The sequence below is a fragment of the Homo sapiens genome, chromosome 8, assembly GCF_000001405.40.
Source record: "Homo sapiens chromosome 8, GRCh38.p14 Primary Assembly".
Taxonomy (NCBI): Eukaryota; Metazoa; Chordata; class Mammalia; order Primates; family Hominidae; genus Homo; species Homo sapiens.
Window position 1 is genome coordinate 99,424,471 of NC_000008.11, and position 24,912 is coordinate 99,449,382.

General features: G+C 34.1%; 1 protein-coding gene across 2 annotated transcripts in view; it reads left to right on the forward strand.

Annotated features, from left to right (window-relative positions):
* VPS13B (vacuolar protein sorting 13 homolog B) overlaps positions 1 to 24,912 on the forward strand; it is an 864,307-nt gene that overhangs the window by 411,197 nt on the left and 428,198 nt on the right. For both annotated transcript variants that reach the window (NM_152564.5, NM_017890.5), the window contains exons 22-23: positions 7,067 to 7,194; positions 17,931 to 18,165. In NM_152564.5, coding sequence (NP_689777.3) covers positions 7,067 to 7,194; positions 17,931 to 18,165 — 363 coding nt within the window. The remainder of the gene's footprint in view (positions 1 to 7,066; positions 7,195 to 17,930; positions 18,166 to 24,912) is intronic.

Consider the following 24,912-nt stretch of genomic DNA (forward strand, 5'->3'; position numbering starts at 1 on the left):
ATGAAATGAAGGCAGAAATAAAGATGTTCTTTGAAATTAACGAGAACAAAGACACAACATACCAGAATCTCTGGGACACATTCAAAGCAGTGTGTACAGGGAAATTGATAGCACTAAATGCTCACAAGAGAAAGCAGGAAAGATCTAAAATTGACACCCTAACATCACAATTAAAAGAACTAGAGAAGCAAGAGCAAACACATTCAAAAGCTAGTAGAAGGCAAGAAATAACTAAGATCAGAGCAGAATTGAAGGAAATAGAGACATTTCCCTTCAAAACGCTTCAAAAAAATCAATGAATCCAGGAGCTGGTTTTTTGAAAAGATCAACAAAATTGATAGACCAAAGCAAGACTAATGAAGAAGAAAAGAGAGAAGAATCAAATAGACGCAATAAAAAATGACAAAGGGGTATCACCACCGATCCCACAGAAATACACACTACCATCAGAGAATACCATAAACACCTCTATGCAAATAAACTAGAAAATCTAGAAGAAATGGATATATTCCTCAACACATACACCCTTCCAAGTCTAAACCAGGAAGAAGTTGCATCTCTGAATAGACCAATAACAGGCTCTAAAATTGAGGCAATAATTAATAGCTTACCAACCAAAAAAAGTCCAGGACCAGGTGGATTCACAGCCAAATTCTACGAGAGGTACAAGGATGAGCTGGTACCATTCCTTCTGAAACTATTCCAATCAATAGAAAAAGAGGGAATCCTCCCTAACTCATTTTGTGAGTCCAGCATCATCCTGATACCAAAGCCTGGCAGAGACCCAACAAAAAAAGAGAATTTTAGACCAATATCCCTGATGAACATCGATGCAAAAATCCTCAATAAAATACTGACAAACCAAATCCAGCAGCACATCACAAAGCTTATCCACCATGATCAAGTGGGCTTCATCCCTGGGATGCAAGGCTGGTTCAACATATGCAAGTCAATAAACATAATCCAGCATATAAACAGAACCAAAGACAAAAACCACATGATTATCTCAATAGATGCAGAAAAGGCCTTTGACAAAATTCAACAGCCCTTCATACTAAAAACTCTCAATAAATTAGGTATTCATGGGATGTATCTCAAAATAATAAGAGCTATTTATGACAAACCCACAGCCAATATCATACTGAATGGGCAAAAACTGGAAGCATTCCCTTTGAAAACTGGCACAAGACAGGGATGCCCTCTCTCACCACTCCTGTTCAACATAGTGTTGGGCAATCAGGCAGGAGAAGGAAATAAAGGGTATTCAATTAGGAAAAGAGGAAGTCAAATTGTCCCTGTTTGCAGATGACATGATTGGATATCTAGAAAACCCCATCATCTCAGCCCAAAATCTCCTTAAGCTGATAGGCAACTTCAGCAAAGTCTCAGGATACAAAATAAATGTGCAAAAATCACAAGCATTCTGTTTTTTGTTTTTTGTTTTTAATTTTTTATTATACTTTAAGTTTTAGGGTACTTGTGCACATTGTGCAGGTTAGTTACATATGTATACATGTGCCATGCTGGTGCGCTGCACCCACTAACTCGTCATCTAGCATTAGGTATATCTACCAATGCTATCCCTCCCCCCCTCCCCCCACCCCACCACAGTCCCCAGAGTGTGATATTCCCCTTCCTGTGTCCATGTGATCTCATTGTTCAATTCCCACCTATGAGTGAGAATATCCTGTGTTTGGTTTTTTGTTCTTGCGATAGTTTACTGAGAATGATGATTTCCAATTTCATCCATGTCCCTACAAAGGACATGAACTCATCATTTTTTATGGCTGCATAGTATTCCATGGTGTATATGTGCCACATTTTCTTAATCCAGTCTATCATTGTTGGACATTTGGGTTGGTTCCAAGTCTTTGCTATTGTGAATAATGCCGCAATAAACATACGTGTGCATGTGTCTTTATAGCAGCATGATTTATAGTCATTTGGGTATATACCCAGTAATGGGATGGCTGGGTCAAATGGTATTTCTAGTTCTAGATCCCTGAGGAATCGCCACACTGACTTCCACAATGGTTGAACTAGTTTACAGTCCCACCAACAGTGTAAAAGTGTTCCTATTTCTCCACATCCTCTCCAGCACCTGTTGTTTCCTGACTTTTTAATGATTGCCATTCTAACTGGTGTGAGATGGTATCTCATTGTGGTTTTGATTTGCATTTCTCTGATGGCCAGTGATGATGAGCATTTTTTCATGTGTTTTTTGGCTGCATAAATGTCTTCTTTTGAGAAGTGTCTGTTCATGTCCTTTGCCCACTTTTTGATGGAGTTGTTTGTTTTTTTCTTGTAAATTTGTTTGAGTTCATTGTAGATTCTGGATATTAGCCCTTTGTCAGATGAGTAGGTTGCGAAAATTTTCTCCCATGTTGTAGGTTGCCTGTTCACTCTGATGGTAGTTTCTTTTGCTGTGCAGAAGCTCTTTAGTTTAATTAGATCCCATTTGTCAATTTTGGCTTTTGTTGCCATTGCTTTTGGTGTTTTGGACATGAAGTCCTTGCCCATGCCTATGTCCTGAATGGTCATGCCTAGGTTTTCTTCTAGGGTTTTTATGGTTTTAGGTCTAACGTTTAAATCTTTAATCCATCTTGAATTGATTTTTGTATAAGGTGTAAGGAAGGGATCCAGTTTCAGCTTCCTACATATGGCTAGCCAGTTTTCCCAGCACCATTTATTAAATAGGGAATCCTTTCCCCATTGCTTGTTTTTCTCAGGTTTGTCAAAGATCAGATAGTTGTAGGTATGCGGCATTATTTCTGAGGGCTCTGTTCTGTTCCATTGATCTATATCTCTGTTTTGGTACCAGTACCATGCTGTTTTGGTTACTGTAGCCTTGTAGTATAGTTTGAAGTCAGGTAGTGTGATGCCTCCAGCTTTGTTCTTTTGGCTTAGGATTGACTTGGCAATGCGGGCTCTTTTTTGGTTCCATATGAACTTTAAAGTAGTTTTTTCCAATTCTGTGAAGAAAGTCATTGGTAGCTTGATGGGGATTCTTATACACCAATAACAGACAAACAGAGAGTCAAATCCTGAATGCACTCCCATTCACAATTGCTTCAAAGAGAATAAAATACCTGGGAATCCAACTTACAAGGGACGTGAAGGACCTCTTCAAGGAGAACTACAAACCACTGCTCAATGAAATAAAAGAGGATACAAACAAATGGAAGAACATTCCATGCTCATGGGTAGGAAGAATCAAAATCGTGAAAATGGCCATACTGCCCAAGGTAATTTATAGATTCAATGCCATCCCCATCAAGCTACCAATGACTTTCTTCACAGAATTGGAAAAAACTACTTTAAAGTTCATATGGAACCAAAAAAGAGCCCGCATTGCCAAGTCAATCCTAAGCCAAAAGAACAAAGCTGGAGGTATCAGGCTACCTGACTTCAAACGGTACTACAAGGCTACAGTAACCAAAACAGCATGGTACTGGTACCAAAACAGAGATATAGAGCAATGGAACAGAACAGAGCCCTCAGAAATAATGCAGTGTATCTACAACCATCTGATCTTTGACAAACCTGACAAAAACAAGAAATGGGGAAACAATTCCCCATTTAATAAATGGTGCTGGGAATACTGGCTAGCCATATGTAGAAAGCTGAAACTGGATCCCTTCCTTACACCTTATACAAAAATTAATTCAAGATGGATTAAAGACTTACATGTTAGACCTAAAAGTATAAAAACCCTAGAAGAAATCCTAGGCAGTACCATTCAGGACATAGGCATGGGCAAGGTCTTTATGTCTAAAACACCAAAAGCAATGGCAACAGAAGCCAAAAGTGACAAATGGGATCTAATTAAACTAAAGAGCTTCTGCACAGCAAAAGAAACTACCATCAGAGTGAACAGGCAACCTATAGAATGGAAGAAAATTTTTGCAATCTACCCATCTGACAAAGGGCTAATATCCAGAATCTACAATGAACTCAAACAAATTTACAAGAAAAAAACAACCCCATCAAAAAGTGGGCGAAGGATATGAGCAGACACTTCTCAAGAGAAGACATTTTTGCAGCCAAAAGACACATGAAAAAATGCTCATCATCACTGGCCATCAGAGAAATGCAAATCAAAACCACAGTGAGATACCATCTCACACCAGTTAGAATGGTGATCATTAAAAAGTCAGGAAACAACAGGTGCTGGAGAGGATGTGGAGAAATAACACTTTTACACTGTTGGTGGGAGTGTAAACTGGTTCAACCATTGTGGAAGTCAGTGTGGTGATTCCTCAGGGATCAAGAACTAGAAATACCATTTGACCCAGCCATCCATTACTTGGTATATGCCCAAAGTATTATAAATCATGCTGCTATAAAGACACATGCACACGTATGTTTATTGCGGCACTATTCACAATAGCAAAGACTTGGAACCAACCCAAATGTCCAACAATGATAGACTGGATTAAGAAAATGTGGCACATATACACCATGGAATACTATGCAGCCATAAAAAATGATGAGTTCATGTCCTTTGTAGGGACATGGATGAAGCTGGAAACCATCATTCTCAGCAAACTAACGCAAGGACAAAAAACCAAACACAGCATATTCTCACTCATAGGTGGGAATTGAACAATGAGAACACATGGACACAGGAAGGGGAACATCACACACCGGGGCCTGTTGTGGGGTGTGGGGAGTGGGGAGGGATAGCATTTGGAGATATACCTAATGTTAAATGAAGAGTTAATGGGTGCAGCCCACCAACATGGCACATATATACATATGTAACAAACCTGCACGTTGTGCACATGTACCCTAAAACTTAAAGTATAATAACCAAAAAAAAAAAAAAGAAAAAGTATGTCTGATTGTTGGATATCTGATGAAAAGGATATCTGATATCTTAATTTTTATTTCTTTGTTAGCAATGTTGAGCATTTTAAAAATAAGTTACTAGCCAAATAACTTTTTTTCTGTAAATAATCTATTCTTATCTTGTCTATTTTTTTATAGTCGTTTATCTATTTGCCACCTTATATCTTTACTTGGATGTCTAATGGAAATCTCAGTTTAAGACATCCCAAACTAAGTTTCCTTTCTTCTCAAATGTGCTTTTCCTACAGCTCCATTCTTCCAGTCTCTCAGTCCTAATACCTTGGAATCATCTTTGCTTTCTCTTGTACTATACATCTAATCCATCAGTAAGTCTTATTGGTTATGTCTTTGAAATGGATACAGCATTTTACCACTTCTTGCCACCTCGTTGCTTCTGCTGTCTCTTACAACCTGTCTTCCTTTTTCAACACTGGATACATGTAGTAAATGTTTTGCACAGTAGCCAGAGAAGTTCTTTCAAAACACATATTCAACAATGTCATGACTATATTCAGAATCTGTTATTCTGTCCCAGTTCCCTCAAGTAAAAACCATCTCCTTACTATGACCTACATGAGCCCTGTATGACCTGGTCCCTATATATAGCTCTAACCTCATGTCCTACTTTTCTCACCCTTGCTCACTCTGCTGAAGCCATCTTTGCCTCCATACTTTGCTTGAAAATCCCATGCATACCTTTAACTTCAGACATTCGTTGTTTTTGTTTCATCTGACTACTATAATGCTCTGCCCACTGAGATCTGCATGGATCTCTTCCAAACTGGTTTGCTTTAATAAACTTTATTTACAATTTCTGATATTGACAATGTCATAATATATGACAATATAACTATGAGAAAGAAAAAGTCCGTTCTTCATGCCCTTAAGGTATTTTAAATATGGTATCAATGCTCATATATTAACCAAGTTAGGGGGAGAGGGGAAGTATGAGTGGATATGGCAACTAGTCATATATCACCACATTCTCATAGTAGTGATATGGTACTACTTATTTTGGAGAGCATCCTAGGTTCTTCAAACTTAATTTATTTAGGTCTGATTTATTTATTTTATGCTACTTTATAAGTACCTAAAATACTACATATAAATTATGTATTTGAATTAACATAAGCTGTATTATATAAATGTATCCAGTTTTAAATGAAACTGTTTAGTTATAATACATTACTATAAATTACTCAATTGTTTAAAATAATTCCTGAAATCTTTCATTATGAAAACATGGTTGAAATCCTCTAATTTCTTTACTTGGAAGAACAAAATTTTAAATAATATAGGGAGTGGAATATTACATTTCATTTTATTAAGAAATCTTCCTTTTATGTAATCACATACCTCTTTTGGTTATCATCAAAATCCACCCCCCCCCCAACTTTTTTTTTGTTGTTGTTGAGACAGTGTCTCACTCTGTTGCCCAGGCTGTAGTGCAGTGGCGCAATCTCAGCTCATTGCAGCAACCTCTGCCTCCCGGGTTCAAGTGATTCCCCTGCCTCAGGCTCCCGAGTAGCTGGGATTACAGGTGCCTGCCACCATGTCTGGCTACTTTTGTAGTTTTAGTAGAGACGGGGTTTCACCATGTTAGCCAGGCTTGTCTTGAACTCCTGACCTCAAGTGATCTGCCTGACTCGGCCTCCCAAAGTGTTAGGATTACAGGCGTGAGCCAACGTGCCTGGCCAAAATCACTTTTTAAAATTGAGAGATTTTATTGGTAAGTTTTTGTTATCAGGAACATTTACATATGGGAAGGATAATTTTCTATCAATTTTGGATGAATCAAGTGCTTTTTAGTTGAATTTCTCTTTTTCTTCCAAGAAAAGATTTTATTGATGTATTGCCTTTATACTGAAAATTGGACAAGTTGTTAAGTTACTGCTTAATGAATTCTTACAAAGTGAATACTTGCATGTAATTAATAAATAGAACGTTACTATCACTTCACAAGTCTACCTTCTAGTCACTAATCCCTGACAAGGGTGAATGCTCTCCTGACTTCTAACAAATTAGGCCTGCTTATTTTTGAATACTTGCAAAAATCAGTTCTATAAGAGAAAATGATGTAAAATGACAATTCATAATCTCATATAAAAATTATAATTTTAAGCAAGGAAAGAAACAATCTTGAAAATACGTTTGGTATGTTCTGTGAAATTGTAAGTTATGTTTCTATTAAATAATTAGCTATTCTCGTACTCAGAATCCCGCCCATTGTCAGTTCCTGTTAAAGCCATGTTGAATATATCTGAAAGCTGTAGAAGTCCTGAAGAAAGAATGAAGGAATTTATTGGAATTGTTTGGAATGCAGTGAAGCATCTCACACTACAGGTAAAATAAAAGTTAGAAATATTATGGATATAATTTCTATAATCCTTTTTAATTCCCAGCATTGTTAATATTGGTAAGACTTTTCTCACATGTAACAATTATGTATACCATCTCATTTTCTTAATTTAGTTGAAAATAATTGGTGTACTTCACTTATCCTAAACATAATTTTATGAAACTCATATGAACTTCCTTATAGTTATAAAAATTTACACATTTTGACATGTTTCTTGACTTAAAAAATTTTAGTTCATTCTACTTTTTGTTTAAGCATTATTTTCACAATTTTAAATTCTTAGTGTTCATATAGTTCCATTCTTATCTCAGAACTGAGATAAAGTCTGAGTTGGAATTAAATTAACATGAAAGGGTTATCTAATTATTTTTTCTACATAATTATAAGTTAAATATGAAAATTATAATAGCTATTTCCTTATTGTTATTTTCCTCTCATTGATTTTTACTTTAAAATGCACAATTTTATCTTATTGAATTACTTTCTTTCAAGATCATGTTTAACCTGACTAAAATATACAATTAGATGCTTATTTGATAAGCTAACAGTTATAAATTTTAGTTTTTGCATAGGATTTTTTCTCTGTGATACCAGAGACATCCTTATAGAATTTTGTATGTACCAGAGTGTAATATCAAAGGCTTAAGTCAAAGCTTTTCACCTTGACTTAAGATATAAAAGTTGCAATAGAACCTTGTTCCCACCTTACTATGAGAACAAGGTTTTGTGATCTGCAAAATTACAGCTATATTAAGCCCATAGAGATCTGAGGTCTTAAATTGACATTACCATAACAGCAGGGTGCTAAAATCCAAAAAAGTGACAAGCAACTCACTTTTTGAAACTCAACAATCTCAGAAAACTCCAAGAAGAATATATAAAAAGGAAAACATAGCTAAGTACCTAGTAGTCAAACTACTGAAAACTTACGGAGAACGTTTTATTTTATTTTACTTTATTTAAAGTGGGAAGATCTTTATTTATCAATATTCTTGTTTACCTGAAGACTATACTGGAAGAAGCTGAAATTATAAGTAAGGCAGACCTAGATATGTATTTCTTAGCAATGTAATATTGGAGAGTTTTTTCTTGTTTCTGTATCCACAAGTTGGAGATTATAATATCTTCTTCATGAAGAGGGTCGAAAATATAGAGTGATAAAGTATATAAAAGCAACTGACAAAATTTATTCATTTATTGATTCATTTTGCAAAAGTTACCATACTGTATTCAGAGAACATACTGAAGAAAACTAATGCAGTCCTGTCCTCATGAAGATCATAGTTTGGCAAGGAGAGATATTCATTAAATGATTGTACTTAAAATAATTTGACTATAATGGTGATGATCCTGCTTCATGAACATACGTGTCAATTAAGCTAACCCTAGAAGAATCAGGAAACATTTGGGTACTCAATAACACTTGTGTTTTCTTTCTCTATTCCATCTTTCTCTCCTGTAGCTGTAGCTTTTTTCTAAAGCAGCTGAAGGCTGCACTGCCCTTCAGCAGGCAGACAAGAAGTGATGGAGATAACACCCCTGGGATTATCTTCACCCACCATGGGAAATGATTCTGTGGCATTCCTTGTCTGTCAGTGTGTCCTCAGTAGAATTAAGCTCCAGGTGTCCAGGGCTTACCAGCACACCCATTTTGGTTACTGTCCTTTTGAGAAAATTTTAGAAGTGGGTAGACAGTAAAGGCCTGTTATATACAGATTAAAAACATTAAGAATGACTCCTTACATCTTATTAGAAACAATGGAGGCCAGAAGACAATAGAATAACACTTTTATGTGCTGAGGAAAATCAGCACATAACATAGAATTAACATAGAATTCTCTAGTCAGCAAAGTATTCATAAAAATGTTGGCCAATAAATACATAAAGACAGAACTTTTCTCTAATAGAAATTTACTGCAAGATATTCTGATAGAAGTTATTTAGGCTGAAAGGAAATTATAACAGAATCTTGGTTTTTCAGAAAGTAATGAAGTATATCAGAAAGTATAAATAGTTGTAAAACAACTGAATATTGAAAAAAATAGTATTCAAGGAGAAAGCTTTAGTGTGTTTTAGTCTTTTGGCTGTTAGCTTCTTTCCTCTTCATTTTCCAGTTAACTTTTTGTTTGTTTCTTTTTTGTTTTTGGACAGAATCTTACTCTGTCGCCCAGGCTGGAGTGCAGTGATGCGATCTCAACTCATTGCACCTTCGCCTCCCAGGTTCAAGCAATTCTTCTGCCTCAGCCTCCCCAGTAGCTGGAATTACAGGCGCCCACCACCACGCCCAGCTAATTATTTTGTATTTTTAGTAGAGATGGGGTTTCACCATGTTGGCCAGGCTGGTCTAGAATTTCTGACCTCAGGCGATCTGCCTGTCTTGTCCTCCCAAAATGCTGAGATTACAGGTGTGAGCCACTGCACTCAGCCCTAGTTAAATTTAACATTAAAAAATATATGACACTTAACAAAGTAAAGGAGTTTTGATTAAGATCAAAATTCAGCAGTTAAATGAAATTTCAGTAATTTATTCAGAAAATATTTATGAAGTCCCTGGTCTGTCCTACACTCCAGCCAGCCCTTAGTCCTACAGATGTGAGGAAATTGTCTCTGTGAGCAACTAGAGTGAGTTTGGAAGTGTATTCTTTCCCAGGTGAGCCTGTGGATGAAAACACAGATGGTCAACACTTTTATTGCGGCTTTTTGAGACCATAATTCAAGTATTTAACTAAGCCATACCAAGATTATTGACCCACAGAAACTGCAACAAATGTCTGTTGTTTTAGGCTGTTACATTTGTGGTGATTTCTTATATAGCATAGAAAATTAATATAGACAGATACAGACACATTATGCATAGCTATAGTGTAGTCTGATTAATCACTATAAGAAATACATACCTGCCATAAAAACTTTTTAGAAATTCATCCAAAAATATCTCCAGTGCATAAAAATACTAGTTAATATAGGAGCCAATAATCTTGATTTTAGCATTCCTTTACATGTTTCTTTTCTGAGCATGCCTCTTATAAGAAAATTAAGAGAAGAATGGGGGGAAGAAAGTATGGCTTGTCGTTCTTGTGTAATTAACTCTTAGCTTGCAGAGTTATGACTCTTTTAGGGATATCAGCTATATTTCACCAGTCTCAGCTGTCATGATTCCTTGTAATGAATATCCTAATAACTCCTTGCATTGACTTACCTGTCCTTCTCCCTTAGAGGTACCCTTTGTACAGTGGTAACATCCAGCACTTAATTTTTGTTATATGTTGGGCTATATGCTGAGAAAAAAAAAGAGACATAATAGTTGTCATGGTCTAGCTGGGAAAAGGCTAAGTGCCATGGTATGGAGTATACTGTAGGGAGCCCCTTAGAAAACTTAACGATGAAAGAAGAGAAATGGGAATGTCAAGAGGAATGTTACTTATTGAAAGGATGCCTAGGGCATGTACTTCCTGGTTTGTGATGAATTTAGATATTATCCTAGGTAAGTATTTATTGCTTTGTAGAAGATCTAGTTGACACCATTGTGTGGTTTAGAATATGATAGCTACCAATAATATTTAGTTGTTTAAAGTTTACTATAGATCTAAATGCTATTTCATGATAATAGAAGTAGTTATATTAAAAATAACCTCATTCCCTCTTATCTAATGATTGAATAATGTGGTATAATTATCCTTTTATTGATATCATTTTGAGTAGTTCTGTAATAGGGAACATGAAAGATAGTATTGGATTACATGATTATTTGACAACTCTGGGAAAATATTCCAATTTAAGATTCCAAGTAATATCAGAAATCTTTGCACTATCGATAAACAAGTAGGTACATCAATATTCCACAATGTAGGATATACTGGAGAATGTCCTTCTCTGGCCAGGATTAAATAACAGGAATAAGATTTATTTCACTGCCTGAAATAACCAAAAAATTATTGAAATATATAACACAAAGATTTCAAACCACTAGGCAATAAGCCAAGTAGACAGTGATTCCTCAGAGACTTAAGATAAAATCAGCAGGACTTAGTAATTAATTGATTTGGGGAATCAAGGAACAGAGTCTAAGAGATCTTCTAGATTCTTGTTTTGGTGTTTGGGTGGTAGTGATGCTATTAAATGAAGTAGCTTTTCCAGGTTAGGGGCAAATAGGGATTTTGAATTTACACATGTATTTGAAATGTATGTGAGACATCCAGGTATGTATTAGATATTTACATCTGGAGTTTAAAAAACAGGTTAAGAGAAGAGATATAATTTTAGGAGTTATCTGCAGATGGTTTTCAAACCAGGAGAATGGGTCATTCAAGAAAGTATGTACAGTTGAAAGAGCAATGGGCCAAGGGAATACCGTTTTAAAAGTTGTTAGTAGAAGAGAGAATGTCCTTGAAGAAAATTATGTTAGTGATCAGAAATGGAGGAGGAGAAACCAGAGAGTTCATGAAAGCAAAAAATGCTTAGAATTTTGAGGAGCTACTGGTCAGCAATGTCAAATTCTAGATGTTAACTATGTGCTTTACTTGCTTATTTGTAGTATAAAATGGATACATTAAATAATATTTAAGGTTACTTCCAACTCTAACATTATTGTATGATTCTTTTGCTTATTTTATAATGTTGCAGTACCTTTTAGCTTCATCACTAACAAACTTAATCTTATATATCACTTTGAATTAATTGTAAGTTATGATAGTGATTTTCCTCATTTTTCCTTTTTTAATCTCTAATTATGGTAAAATACATATAACATAAAATTTACCTTCCTTACTATTTGGAATAAACTATATGGTTTATTTTGTGGTTCCTCAATTTGAGTAAGCTTATTGAGTATCAGTTAACATAATCATTGCAGTACCAAATAATACATCTTTATATAGGTTATCTTATATATGACCTAGGTACTTGGCTTGCCTCACCCTAGTCCTGGCCCTGTGTTAAACATACTATATATTTAAACATTTCCAGATGTTAATGTATCATCAACACTTTAAAAGATAAAATTAGATTCTCATTAAATGATTACAATTTAGACTGTGAAAATCTGAGTTTTATTTATTTTATCTTATTTTATTTTTTTGAGACAGAGTCTTAGTTGTCGCCCAGGCTGGAGTGCAGTGGTGTGATCTCGGCTCACTGCAAGCTCCGCCTCCCAGGTTTATGCCATTCTCCTGCCTCAGCCTCCCGAGTAGCTGGGACTACAGGTGCCCGCCACCATGCCCAGCTAATTTTTTTGTATTTTTAGTAGAGACGGAGTTTCACCGTGTTAGCCAGGGTGGTCTCCATCTCCTGACCTCGTGATCCACCCGCCTCGGCCTCCTAAAGTGCTGGGATTACAGGCGTGAGCTTTTATTTTTAAAAACGTTGTCCATTTTTTAAGATGTTTTATGAGCCAAAATATAAAACAGAAAACCCTGCAAGTTATCATCAGATAAAACAGGACATCATAACTTAAAGGTTTCGAATGATTATTCTTTTAGTGGAAGTTTGTGCAGGTAATTATGTTTGGAACCAGAATTTCTGCAAAGTTGATGTTGGAGCCAAAGTTGGTATTTGCTAAACCCATATTATTTTTTACTTAGAATAGAAACATGTATATTACATAAAATCATTAACAATATTTGCTGTAACCTATTTGTTTTTCAGTGTGGAAGAAGGAGTTTCCATACTTAATTATAATGGATTATTTTATAATATTCCATGTAGTCTTGGACAGTCTTTTTTTTTAAAAAAAAATATATATATATATGAACTTTGGGGCCAGGCACGGTGGCTCACATCTGTAATCCCAGCACTTTGGAAGTCCTCGGCAGGCAGACGACTTGAGGTTAGGAGTTCAAGACCAGCATGGCTAACATGGTGAAATCCCGTGTCTACTAAAAATACAAAAATTAGCTGGGCTTGGTGGTGCCCACCTGTAGTCCCACCTAGTCTGGAGGCCGAAGCAGGAGAATCGCTTGAACCTGGGTGGTGGAGGTTGCAGGGAGCCGAGATTGCGCCACTGCACTCCAGCCTGGGTGACAGAGCAAAACTCTGTCTCAAAAATAAAAATTAAAAGAATAAAAATATATAAACTTTGGGGGCCTTTTAACAATAGATTAGCATAAGTTCACCGGTTCTTTCCAAGTTTTCTATACCTGCTCATTAACAAAGATTCTATTAAAGCTATGTTTTTATTCCAGAAGCACATAATTGGCAATAGTATGTAGCTGATAAAATAGAAATGTGCTGGCTAGAATTTACTCCTTTCTAGGAGAACATTTCTCTGCTTATTGCCAGACTTAGCTTTTTTTTTGGTCATTTACATCGAAGTTCATCTTGCTGTCCTATGACATGTACTAGCATTTTCTTTTCCTCTTTTTTTTTTTTTTTTTTTGTACTCTCTGAGTTTTTCTGAGTGGACTGAAGTCTTCTGAGTTTAATGGCATTTTTAATTTCAATACCAAGCATTCTGGTCTCTTTCTTTTGGTAATAATGCTGTTATTCCTTTAGGGAACTACTTCCCACATTCTGTGTTATTTTGATGAGAGTGTCAGTCAGGGTGTCTCAAGCAGCATGAGCCAGTTAAGCTGGGCCAGTTGAATTCTGTCTTCTAGGAAGTTAAATCTAGAGCATGACTAGTGATGAAAAAAGTCATACTGCTTGATGTCCTGATGTCCAGTAAACTCCTTGGCCTTTATTTTCAGGATTAAATGGGAGTAGACATTTTAGGCCAGAGAGATCAACTATCAATCATGCTAATTATAAAAGTAAGATTTTATATTTAATCCTTACAAATTTTGCACACAGGCCCACATTCTTACTTATAGGCATTGAACAAGTGACAGCCATTGCATGGCAGTTAGGAGGAAGTCTGGAATTCAAATCTAGGAATTTTTAATGTCTTCTCTTGACAAGATTTTTATGGAAAAAGTGTGAAGATTTATAACACTTACTCTGGAAAGGATGACAACCAAGACAACCAACTGTAGGCTTTTAATCTATGGCCCCAAATCAGGGATATTTAAATTTCTACTACATATGATGATATCCAAAATATTTTCATGATGCACTGAAAATTTATCAAATAGGAAAACTGTGATTTGGGTGATAGTTTATATATTTGTTGTAGTGCAAATGGAATACTAATTTTAATGGCCCCTATATACAGAGATAGTGAAACCGTAAGCAACAGCATTTGAAAATAAATGCACTGTGAACAGGTTTTATAAATCTATGAGGCTAATAATATATGGGATCTCGCCTATAGGAGAGACTTGGTGTTGTTTGTTGACTATCTTTCTTTAGCAAACGTTTAGGTAACACTTACTGTGTTAAATATATATATCAATGCTATAATTTCCCCCATTAACAGATGAGGAAACTGAAGTCATGGAGAGATGAAATAGCTTGTCAAATATCCCACAGCTGTGTTGAATTCATCTCATTAACAAATCAGTTTTATTAATCACCTTAGAGGTTGCCTCTGGAATGAAATGATGAACAACGTGCATGAAGCAATTATTTTCATTACCATATCTGATGAAAATAATTGTTTAATTGTTTCTACTTGTTGAACAATTATTTATTGAGTACATAGTACATGCACCACTGCACAATGTACAGAAACTATATAGTGTACAAAATAGGCAAATGTTTGACTTCATAAAGTTTATGTTCTCGTGAGAATTCTGTAAGGATATTAATACTTGAAAGTGATCTTGTTTTAAGCTTTTTTAGGGCTGGCACTATGTCTTTTGTCTCTGTATTCCTGACTTCCAGGTCAGTTCATGATAGATATTAGAGAGTACATGAATAAAGGAGAGAAAAAGTAATGAAATGCAACATACAATGTTCCTTTATTTTTGTTTTTTATTTGAAACTCTTTCCTGAAGAGTAACATACACTTATATAGAGAACATTTGGTACTGTAGAAATTATGCAAAATATAATTATCACTACATTTTCAAGTTGTAAATAAAAATAAATATATTATTTGGGAATAGGAAATAGTTATGTTATTGAAAAGGGAAGAAAATGTGGCACAACATTTCAAAGCTTTTATCTATAAAGTGCTTTATATGATGGGCAGTGGCTAATTAAGATTTTCAGATTAATGGGTAAATAAAACCTATCTTAGTCTCTTCTTTTTAGCTGAATTGGGATCACAATTATAGAGCACTAAAAGAGAAAAATCTAAGTTTCTCAAACCTCACATATAGGGCCAAGGACTTACAGAGGCATATATCTTTCAAATAGCACATAAACTAGAAACTTCAGGGAAAAATGCATTGCAGTCATTTCATTTATTAAAATAAGAATAACAAATAATTTTTACTTTATTGGTTTATCTTCAGTATATGATACTTAGATATGTAGCCCTTGACCTAGTAGGAATCAAAATAGAGGTGGTTCCACTTCAAGAATTTGTAATAATCCCTTCACTTTAACACATGAATGTGTTCAGTATTGGCAAAAGAACACGTTGCTACCAAAACTGAAACAAGATCCTTGAAACAGAAAGGATGTTGCCATGGAAAAATGAAGTAACACTCAGTGCAGCTGTGATGCATTCATGAATAGGATATTTTTTTAAAAGATCATTTGTGTTTGGTGTGGCTCAGAGGGTCCCAACCAGATGGTTTCCATGAACATGATCTGACCCCCAGCTTGAGGACTTCTTACTGGCAGATTACTTCATTTTCTTTCCCTTGGATTGTCAGATCCTTACATTAATTCAGAATTTACTGCTGCAGATTTATATTCAGTAATATAAATCACTCAACATTTTACATTAAAACCACAATTTTATACATACAGTTTAACAGTTATTTTAAAAGTGTAAAAAGATTTATGTGATAGCTTTAGTATATATAATAGATAAAACATAATAATTTTGAGTAATTTTAATTATATGATTCTTATCATTAAAGGAACTCTCACAACATATATTTTAGAAAGTTTATTTTAGAGTTGTTATGTATCTGATGCTACTATACTGTTGATTCTGTTTATGTTGCTCACATTGTTTACACTTGATGAAATAATTGATTTTTAAATTAGTGAAATTAATGTTTTTGATTTTGGAAATTTTGGCATGATTTGAATTTTTTCCTAAGGATATGTATGCATGTGGTTGTGTATGGTAGCATACTAAACTAATTACCTCACAATATTGAAAGCATTTTTCAAGGTAGTATCAATACCTACATGAAGTGTTAAATACTGACACTTCATATTTTGACCTTTTAACCTGAATTAATAAAGGCTATGCTCTTAATGTGCCATTTTAAATTGTGCAACTGAAAATTACTAATGAATTATGTTAAATATTTTAAAGCATAATTCTAAGTTACCTGAGACAATATAGACTTCTATTTCAGAATAAACTACATCATGATCTTAAATCAATAAACTACTTAACACACATGTACTTTATCTAATCTGCAGTATAAGATTTTAGAACTAAAATGAGCTCATGCTTCACAAACCAATGCGTTTATTTTTGCAAAATTTTACCTGTATTTTTCATCACTGAATTCATCAGTTTGGCCATGCCCCAAAATGTGAAGCAAAGACAAACAGGTTTGTTTATTTATAGGTTGACAAATTATTTATCCTATCAAGGAATTCCAAACCTGTTAAATATAATCATGTTCTCACCAGAATAGTATATTAGGCCCAAGAGAAGAGATGTTGCTATTATCTTTTAAAAATGTAGTCTTTTTGCTAACATAGTTTCTTTGAATATCCAAGAATGTATGAATTAAAAAAATTATTTTGTATCACACCTCCAGATAACATATTTTTATGTGAAATATTTTGTAGGAAATCAACCAATCATAGTTTGTATTTTCTCAATAACTTAAGTATCGTAGGCTGTTGGAGCAATTTGATAATGAGATACACAGTATTACTTTATAAGCACCGCTAAGACAAATAGACTTTACATTGCTTCTGAATTAAGAAGTCACGATGAATTCAGTTTTGGGGTTGGGCTTACTTTGTCTCCTTATCTTAACCTCTGAGGTCCTGGCAACTTAATGTAACTCTACTGGGGATAGGAGAACATTAAGATAATACATGAAATTACAATTTAGGTAATTTGAAGAATGAAAAAAGCAAGAAATAATGCTCTGATTTTTAAGTCTTCTGATTTTTCCTATTATGATGTATTTATGTATAATAAATCTGATACATGTATGTATACTTGAATCATTGTATATAAAAGTGAAAGTATGTGATATAAACATGTTCTTTAATGGTTGTCTAGTGTTATAAATTGAATGTTTTAAACAATGTTTTCTTATATTCTAGTCTGTAAAGTAAAAATGGAAGGACTAAATTCACGTAAAAATAGCCCTTTTTAAAAAAAGTAACAGCAATAAAATGCTAGGTAGTTCTAGGCCTTATCTGGTGTTAACAAAATTTTCTAATAAACTGCAAAAGAAAGAGTGTTTTCTGATCTTCTTTTGCCAGCACACTTTCTAACTCAATCTTGTGTCTTGGAAAAGACTGTGGAAGGGCAGATCATCTCTTGTCACTAGGCATTTTGTATCAAGTTTATAACAAGAGTAAACAATACCTTTTCAAGTTTTTAAAATATTCATTAGTGAAAATAAGTCATAAAGACATAAATATGGAACATTTACTTTTTTTGGTTGTTTATTCTGGCGAAGATGTTAGGTGTTTGAAGGCATATTTAGTCTAATCCGAATATTTTAATTCTGCTTTTCTTTTCTAGCTTGAAGTACAATCTTGTTGTGTGTTTATTCCAAATGATAGCCTGCCTTCCCCAAGTACAATTGTATCTGGTGACATTCCTGGAACAGTAAGAAGTTGGTACCATGGACAAACCAGCATGCCGGGAACACTTGTCCTCTGTTTGCCTCAAATAAAGATTATTAGTGCTGGGCACAAGTATATGGAACCTCTGCAGGAGATTCCATTTGTTATCCCACGACCCATCCTTGAAGAAGGTATATGTTAACATTTTTTTCCTATGGTTAATGTTTTATATGGACATTTTTAGATTTGTTGGTGTTTTTAAATGTGTCAGTGTATAAGCAAATCAGTCTTCTCATTGAAAGATTTTTCCTGACCAAAGTAAGTGAACTAAGTGATGCCATTTATTGCCTTCCATACCTTTTAATCTTAGTCATATATTCACATATGTTATCTGTAAAAGATCATATGCAATATAATATAATCATTAAAATGTAAACGTAGGAAAAATTAACTTGGGAAGAAAATTGCTTTTGGATATTATCATTAGGCTGAACTAAGAATGATAAGTAGATTGATCTTAATTTAAGTTACTTGATTTATGAATGAATGTATTTTAAATATATAAATAATTGCGTGAATATATTATTTAGCAAGCATAATGTATTTTTAGATTCCTCATTTGTTTATACAAAGTAATTATATGATGATTAGAGTCATGATCCTTTCTCCAATATATATATACTTAATTTCTCATATTGCTGTGTTTTCAGTTATGAATTCATAACCTTTTGAACTTTGGCATATTCATTTCAAACAAAATGTGAACCTGGAAAGATTTTGAGTCATAAAGTAATCTGAATATATATTATAATAACAAGGCTCAAATTTTTGACAGTGCTAAACAGGTCAACACCTTGTTCATATTATTATGGTGTAAGTGTATGAATCCTGATATCACTGAAATTTCTACATACTGTCACTGAAAAGCAGACATAGCCTGTGTAATTTTTGATCTCTACTTTGATGTTGATTTCTCTCTCCTTTTCTCTATACTGAAATTTCTATTGAAATCTACTTTTCTTATATTCATTAAAAGAAAACATGATTTCACTGAGAGACATTTTTGGTCCTTAATAACATGAATACTATTATCATACAATTATAGAATTTTAAGGTTAAAGGGAATGTTTTTAGAGTATATGGTCTTTTTGTGACTGGTTTCTTTCATTTAATATTTTTAAGATTGATTCATGTTGTAGCAGTCTTTGTTGTTTTTATGGCTGAATAGTATTCCATCTTATGGATATATCAAATTTTTTTGATTCATTCATCAGTTGATGGACAGTTGAAGTTGTTTTCACTTTTTGGCTTTTATGAGAAATCCTGGTATAAACATTCCTTTACAGGATTTTTGTGTGGATTTGTTTTAATTTCTTTTAGCTATATGCTGAGGAGTAAAATTGTTGTGTCGTATAGTAACTATGTTTGAGCTTCTCAGGAATTGCCAGACTGTCATCCAAACTGTCTGCACCATTTTATAATACCACATTATGTACAAAGGTTCTAATTTTTTCACATCTGTGTCACTATTTGTTATTATCCGCTTTGTTTCTTTTTCTTTTCTTTTTTTTTTTATTTTGTTCTAGCCATCCTAGACAATAACCTCTTAAACTGGAGAGAGCAATTAATTTTAAGTGGTTTGTTTCTTTTTTTTCTTTTTTTTCTTTTTTTTGAGATGGAGTCTTGCTCTGTCGCCTGGGCTGGAGTACAGTGGCACAATCCCGGCTCACTGCAGCCTCCGCCTCCCAGGTTCAAACAATTCTCCTGCCTCAGCCTCCCGAGCAGCTGGGACTACAGGCACTTGCCACCACACCCAGGTAATTTTTGTATTTTTAGTAGAGTCAGGGTTTCACCATATTGGCCAGGCTGGTTTCAAACTCCTGACCTCGTGATCCACCCGCCTTGGTCTCCCAAAGTGTTGGGATTACAGGCGTGAGCCACTGCGCCTGGCCAAATTAAAGTGTTTTTAAGAACTGTGTTGGTCAGGCAGAGAGTAAATAGATTGATTTAATACATCATTTAATATACTAAATACACATCTTAATATTTATAAAACTGAAGCTTACATTATGAAACTGGTGTTTATTTTTACTATAAAAATAGTAAAAGTGGTGTGAAGTGGAATCTCATTGTGGTTTTGGTTTGCATTTCCCTAATGACTAATAATGTTGAACTTATTTTCGTGCTGGTTGGCCATTTGTATATCTTCTTTAATATTTTATTTCTTTTTATTTATTTATTTTTTTGGATCAGGTTTCATTCTTGCTGAGGCTGAAGTGCAGTGGTGCAATCACGGCTCACTGCCGCCTTGACCGCCGGAGCTCAATTGATCCTCCCACCTCCTGAGTAGCTGGGACTACAGGCACACACTACCATGCCTGTCTAATTTTTTAATTTTTGTAGAGGTGGGGTTTCACCATGTTTCACAGGTTGGTATCGAACTCCTGGGCTGCCTCAGCTTCCAAAAGCACTGGGATTATAGGTATTAGTCACCCTGCCCAACCTAATATTTTCTTCTATTCAAATCTTTTGCCTACTTTTTAGTTGTATTTTTAGTAGAGTCAGGGTTTCACCATATTGGCCAGGCTGGTCTCGAACTCCTGACCTTGTGACTTCTTACAGTTGAGTTGTAAGAGTTCTTTATTATATTCTAGATACGATACCCTTACACATGATTTGCAAGTATTTTCTCCTGTTCTATACATTGTCTTTTCACTTCCTTGATGGCTTTCTTTGTCATATAAACATTTGTAATATGAAATTTTTATAATATGAATATTTATATTATAAATTTATATAATATAAATTGATATTATAAATTTTGTAGTATAAACATTTGGCAAGACTTCATCTCTACAAAAAATTTAAAAATTACCCGGTTGTGGTGGCTTGAGCCTATAGTCCTAGCTCCATGGGAGGTTGAGGTGGGAGGATTGCTGGAGTCCAGGAGTTCCAGGATGCAGCAAGCTATGATCGCACCACTGCACTCCAGCCTAGGCAACAGAGCAAGACCCTGACTCTGTAAATTAATTAACTAAGTATATATAATACATGATATATAATATGTAATATATACTTTTTTTAATAATTATAAATTGTATAAATATATGTAAATATAAACATAATCTAAAAAGTTTTCCTGTGCTATGTTGGAAATTATTTTCTCACTATTCTTTTTTTTAATATTAGAAATTAACACCATTTCCACAAAGTATGTTTTAGTTTTAGAAATATTAAGATGCATATTTAATTTATTTAATGATGTAGTAAATCAGTCTATTTACTCTCCATCTGAACAATACAGTTCTTAAAACACTTTAATCCTTCTCTCCAGATTGAGGTTATTGTCATAAATTTTCTTTTATTTTTAAAACTTGATATCATTATTTTGTAATATAATTGCTTAGATTTGGCATATATAGAATAAGGCAGAGGTTGGAAAACTTTCTCAACAAAGTGCCAGATAGTAAATATTTTGTTTCATTAGCTATATGGTTTCTGTTTTCACTACCCAACCATGCTTTATAGTGCAGAGACAGCCATAGACAATATGTCAATACATTGGTATGACTGTGTTCCAATAAAACTTTATTTACAGAATCTGGTGGTTGGCTGCATTTGGCCATGAGCCACATTTGCCTACCTATATGCTAGTGCTTTAGTAGTCATTCCTTTTCACAGCTTAGCCCTTCCTTCTTTCTCAGTTCATTTACTTCTGCCTAAAGTACATCCTTTAGAAGCTGTTTTTGTGATGGCCTGATGTTAGCAAACTCTCAATTTTGTTTCTTTGCCTTTTTTTTTGAAATATATTTTCTGGGTATATAAATCCTTGTTTATAGTTATTTTCTCCCAGCTCATTAAAGATACTGTTGTGCTGACTCTTGCTTTTCATTGGCCTTTTAGGAGGTACAATGTCATTTCATGTTTCCTTGGAAGTCGTTTGTCCTTTTCCTCTGGGTTCTTTAAGGATCTTCTCAGTCTTTGTGTTTTAAAGTTTTAATATTCGAATCTTATGAGTCCTGCAAGTTTTCTGGCATAATCTATTCAGATATTGCCTTTACTTTTTTTCTTTCCATACATATGTTGGACTTTTTTGATTTTTTACTGTATTTTCCATGTTGTTTCTTCACTCTTTGATATTTTTTCTCTTTGATTTGCTGACCTGCATTCCAGTTAATTTCTTTAATCTAGTTCATTAATTTTCTTTTCAATTGTGTCTAATATTTTGTTAAAGTTGTTCTTTGAATTTTTCAATGTCAACTGTATGAAAGTCTAACATACAGAAAATGGTACAACGCTAAGTATACAACTGGATACATTTTTGTCAGATAAATCCATACATGTTACTAGTACCTGAATAGAGATCAAGAATATTCCCAGTACTCAGAAGATCTTCTCTTGGAGGCAAATTGTGTTTAACATCTAAAACCGCAAATTAGTTTTCCTGTTTTTGAACTTCATAGCACTTATTGAATAGCACTTTTATTGAATTTAAAATTTTACATAGGATATTCTTTTTATCTTGATTCTATTTAAAACTCTTTATTAATATTTTCAAGGCTTCCTTTTATCTCTTTCTGCATGAAACTTTTAACTTACGTGATTGCCTAATTCCTGCTGACTCTTGCCTACTATACCTAATATTCCTTGTTTATACTTTTCTTTTCTGTGCTACTTATTTTCCTTAGAAATTTCTCTGTAGAAATGTTTTGAAGCCTGGCCTGAAAGATTCCTCCTATACAGGCTTGAATTTACTTCCAACATGTTGGTGGCACTATGAGTTCAGAACCATTTGAAACTAAATTCTTGATAAAAGGTTTTTATGCCACTTAGATAATAAAAATTTAAGCTACAGCCTTGTGGTTGTGGGTTTTCCCCCCACCCATCTATTGAAGGTTTCATTTTCTGGCAGCGTTTGTGAGAGGATCATATAAAGAAGGGAAGAGCAGAAAACTTTATTTCTAGTTTACCTGTACATGAATATTCTAGCCATTTGCATGCCAGCTTTATCTTTTATTATTTTCTGCACTGTGAGTTAGCTTCAGGCTTTATCTTCAGTCAGACTTAACTTGACTTCAGTTCAGTGGTAAACACGGATGCTCAATTTTAACCAACTTTGAAGTGCCTCGGGCATTTACTTTGCATACCTCTGTGTTTCTGGTTTCCCTCAGCCCCTGGCTTTAATTATCTTTACTCTTTTTGGAAATTCATTAATAAGTTTAAGAAGATATCATTTGGTGTGTGTGTGCATGCATGTGTATATGTGTAAAACATTATATAAATTTTATAGTATGTGTCACATATTGTTAAAATACAGTATAGTCATTTTTATTTTTTTAGGAGAGGGATCATTCAACATATTTATCGTGTTGCTGTAAATAGAATTCCTCAGTTATGTTTTTTAAAGATGATGTGACACTATTATACTCTGTCTTTTCAAATGATTTTATAAAAGGACCGATATATAGTGCCCATCATTCTTTATACCTTCAATACTCATTTAAAATCTCTCTTATTTCTACAAAACTCCTGCCAACATCTACTGCTTGTCTTTTTCATATTAAAAAATTATTTTATTTTCATCTTGTTTTTCAAGTACATCAAGAATGACTTAGGAACTGCGGAAGTCTCCATCTTTAAAGCATAAGGTGCTATTATATTCTCAGGTGGTTTTATTTTTATTTATTTATTTATTTATTTATTTATTTATTTATTTATTGCAAGAACTGAGATGGCAACTTAATTTATTTTGAACTTAAAAAAAATCACATACCAGATGGAGAGGGCTTGAATCAAATTGAAATTTCCAGTCTATTTTTCATACTCCCTAAGAGAATATAGAGTGACTGCATAATCAACATTGAAACATGAAGTAGAAACAACTTTTTAACCACATGGTTATTCTCATTGACCAAACCTACTCTGAGGAAAAGAGATTATTTCAAGATATTTAAATTCTCTTTTGGTCTTAAAAAACTATAGAAATTAACTTCTTATGAATAACCAGAAATCTATCCCTTTTTCTGCATTTAAAATGGTGTTTATAAAAATATTATAAGCCTTTGATGCATACGTGTTAAAAGTAATTTACTCTTTGTCTTTACACATGTACCCAGATAGAAAACTGATTTGGAGGTTTACTTACTCATTTCCAGTTTTCACACAGCCCTTCTGGTTTCAGTGTCATGCCTGTATTCTCTTTTTCAATCTTTCTTGAGTATTGGGACTGATGGCATGAATTAGACTGCTCTTTTATAGCTTCCTTCTCTGGTCCTCAGTCATTTGCTATTTACACACATTCCAGCTTTAAAAAATTTGTGATATATTTCATCTTCAGTCATTTCCTCTCTTGTTCTTATTAGTCCTTTTTGATTTATAATGCTTTTTCCATTTCATTGTCATTTTGTTGGTTTCAAAATGTAGATAACTTTCAATCATTTATGTTCAAGCAGATACAGGATGTCTGAATCCATTCCACCTCCTATTATACCCCTTTCCATTCTACTTCTCTGATACTATTGTTTTATGTTTAGCTCATTTTTGTTCAGTAAATGTTTCTTAGTAAGTATAGAGGATGGATTGGGGGTAATTGGATAAAGTAGGAAACCTGGAGTCAAGATTAGTTAAATATTCCAGATAGCCATTATAGCTTAGAAGAAATGATTGTCAGAACCAGGGCAGTGGTAATAGATACTGGGACAGAATAGAGAGAAATATTTAAAAGGTTGACAAAAACTGTCCAAACTTAATGACTGGATTAGTTATGGATAGGGAAGGAGAGAAAAAAATCTGTAGAATAACTCCGTGGTTCTTAGCTTAGATGTCAATATACATTATTTACATAGTTAATATTATGGTTAGGAACAAAGAAAGAGGGCCAGTTTTTGGTGTGCATGGTGGGATGGATGAATTTAGTTTGGTCCATATGGTGAAGTATC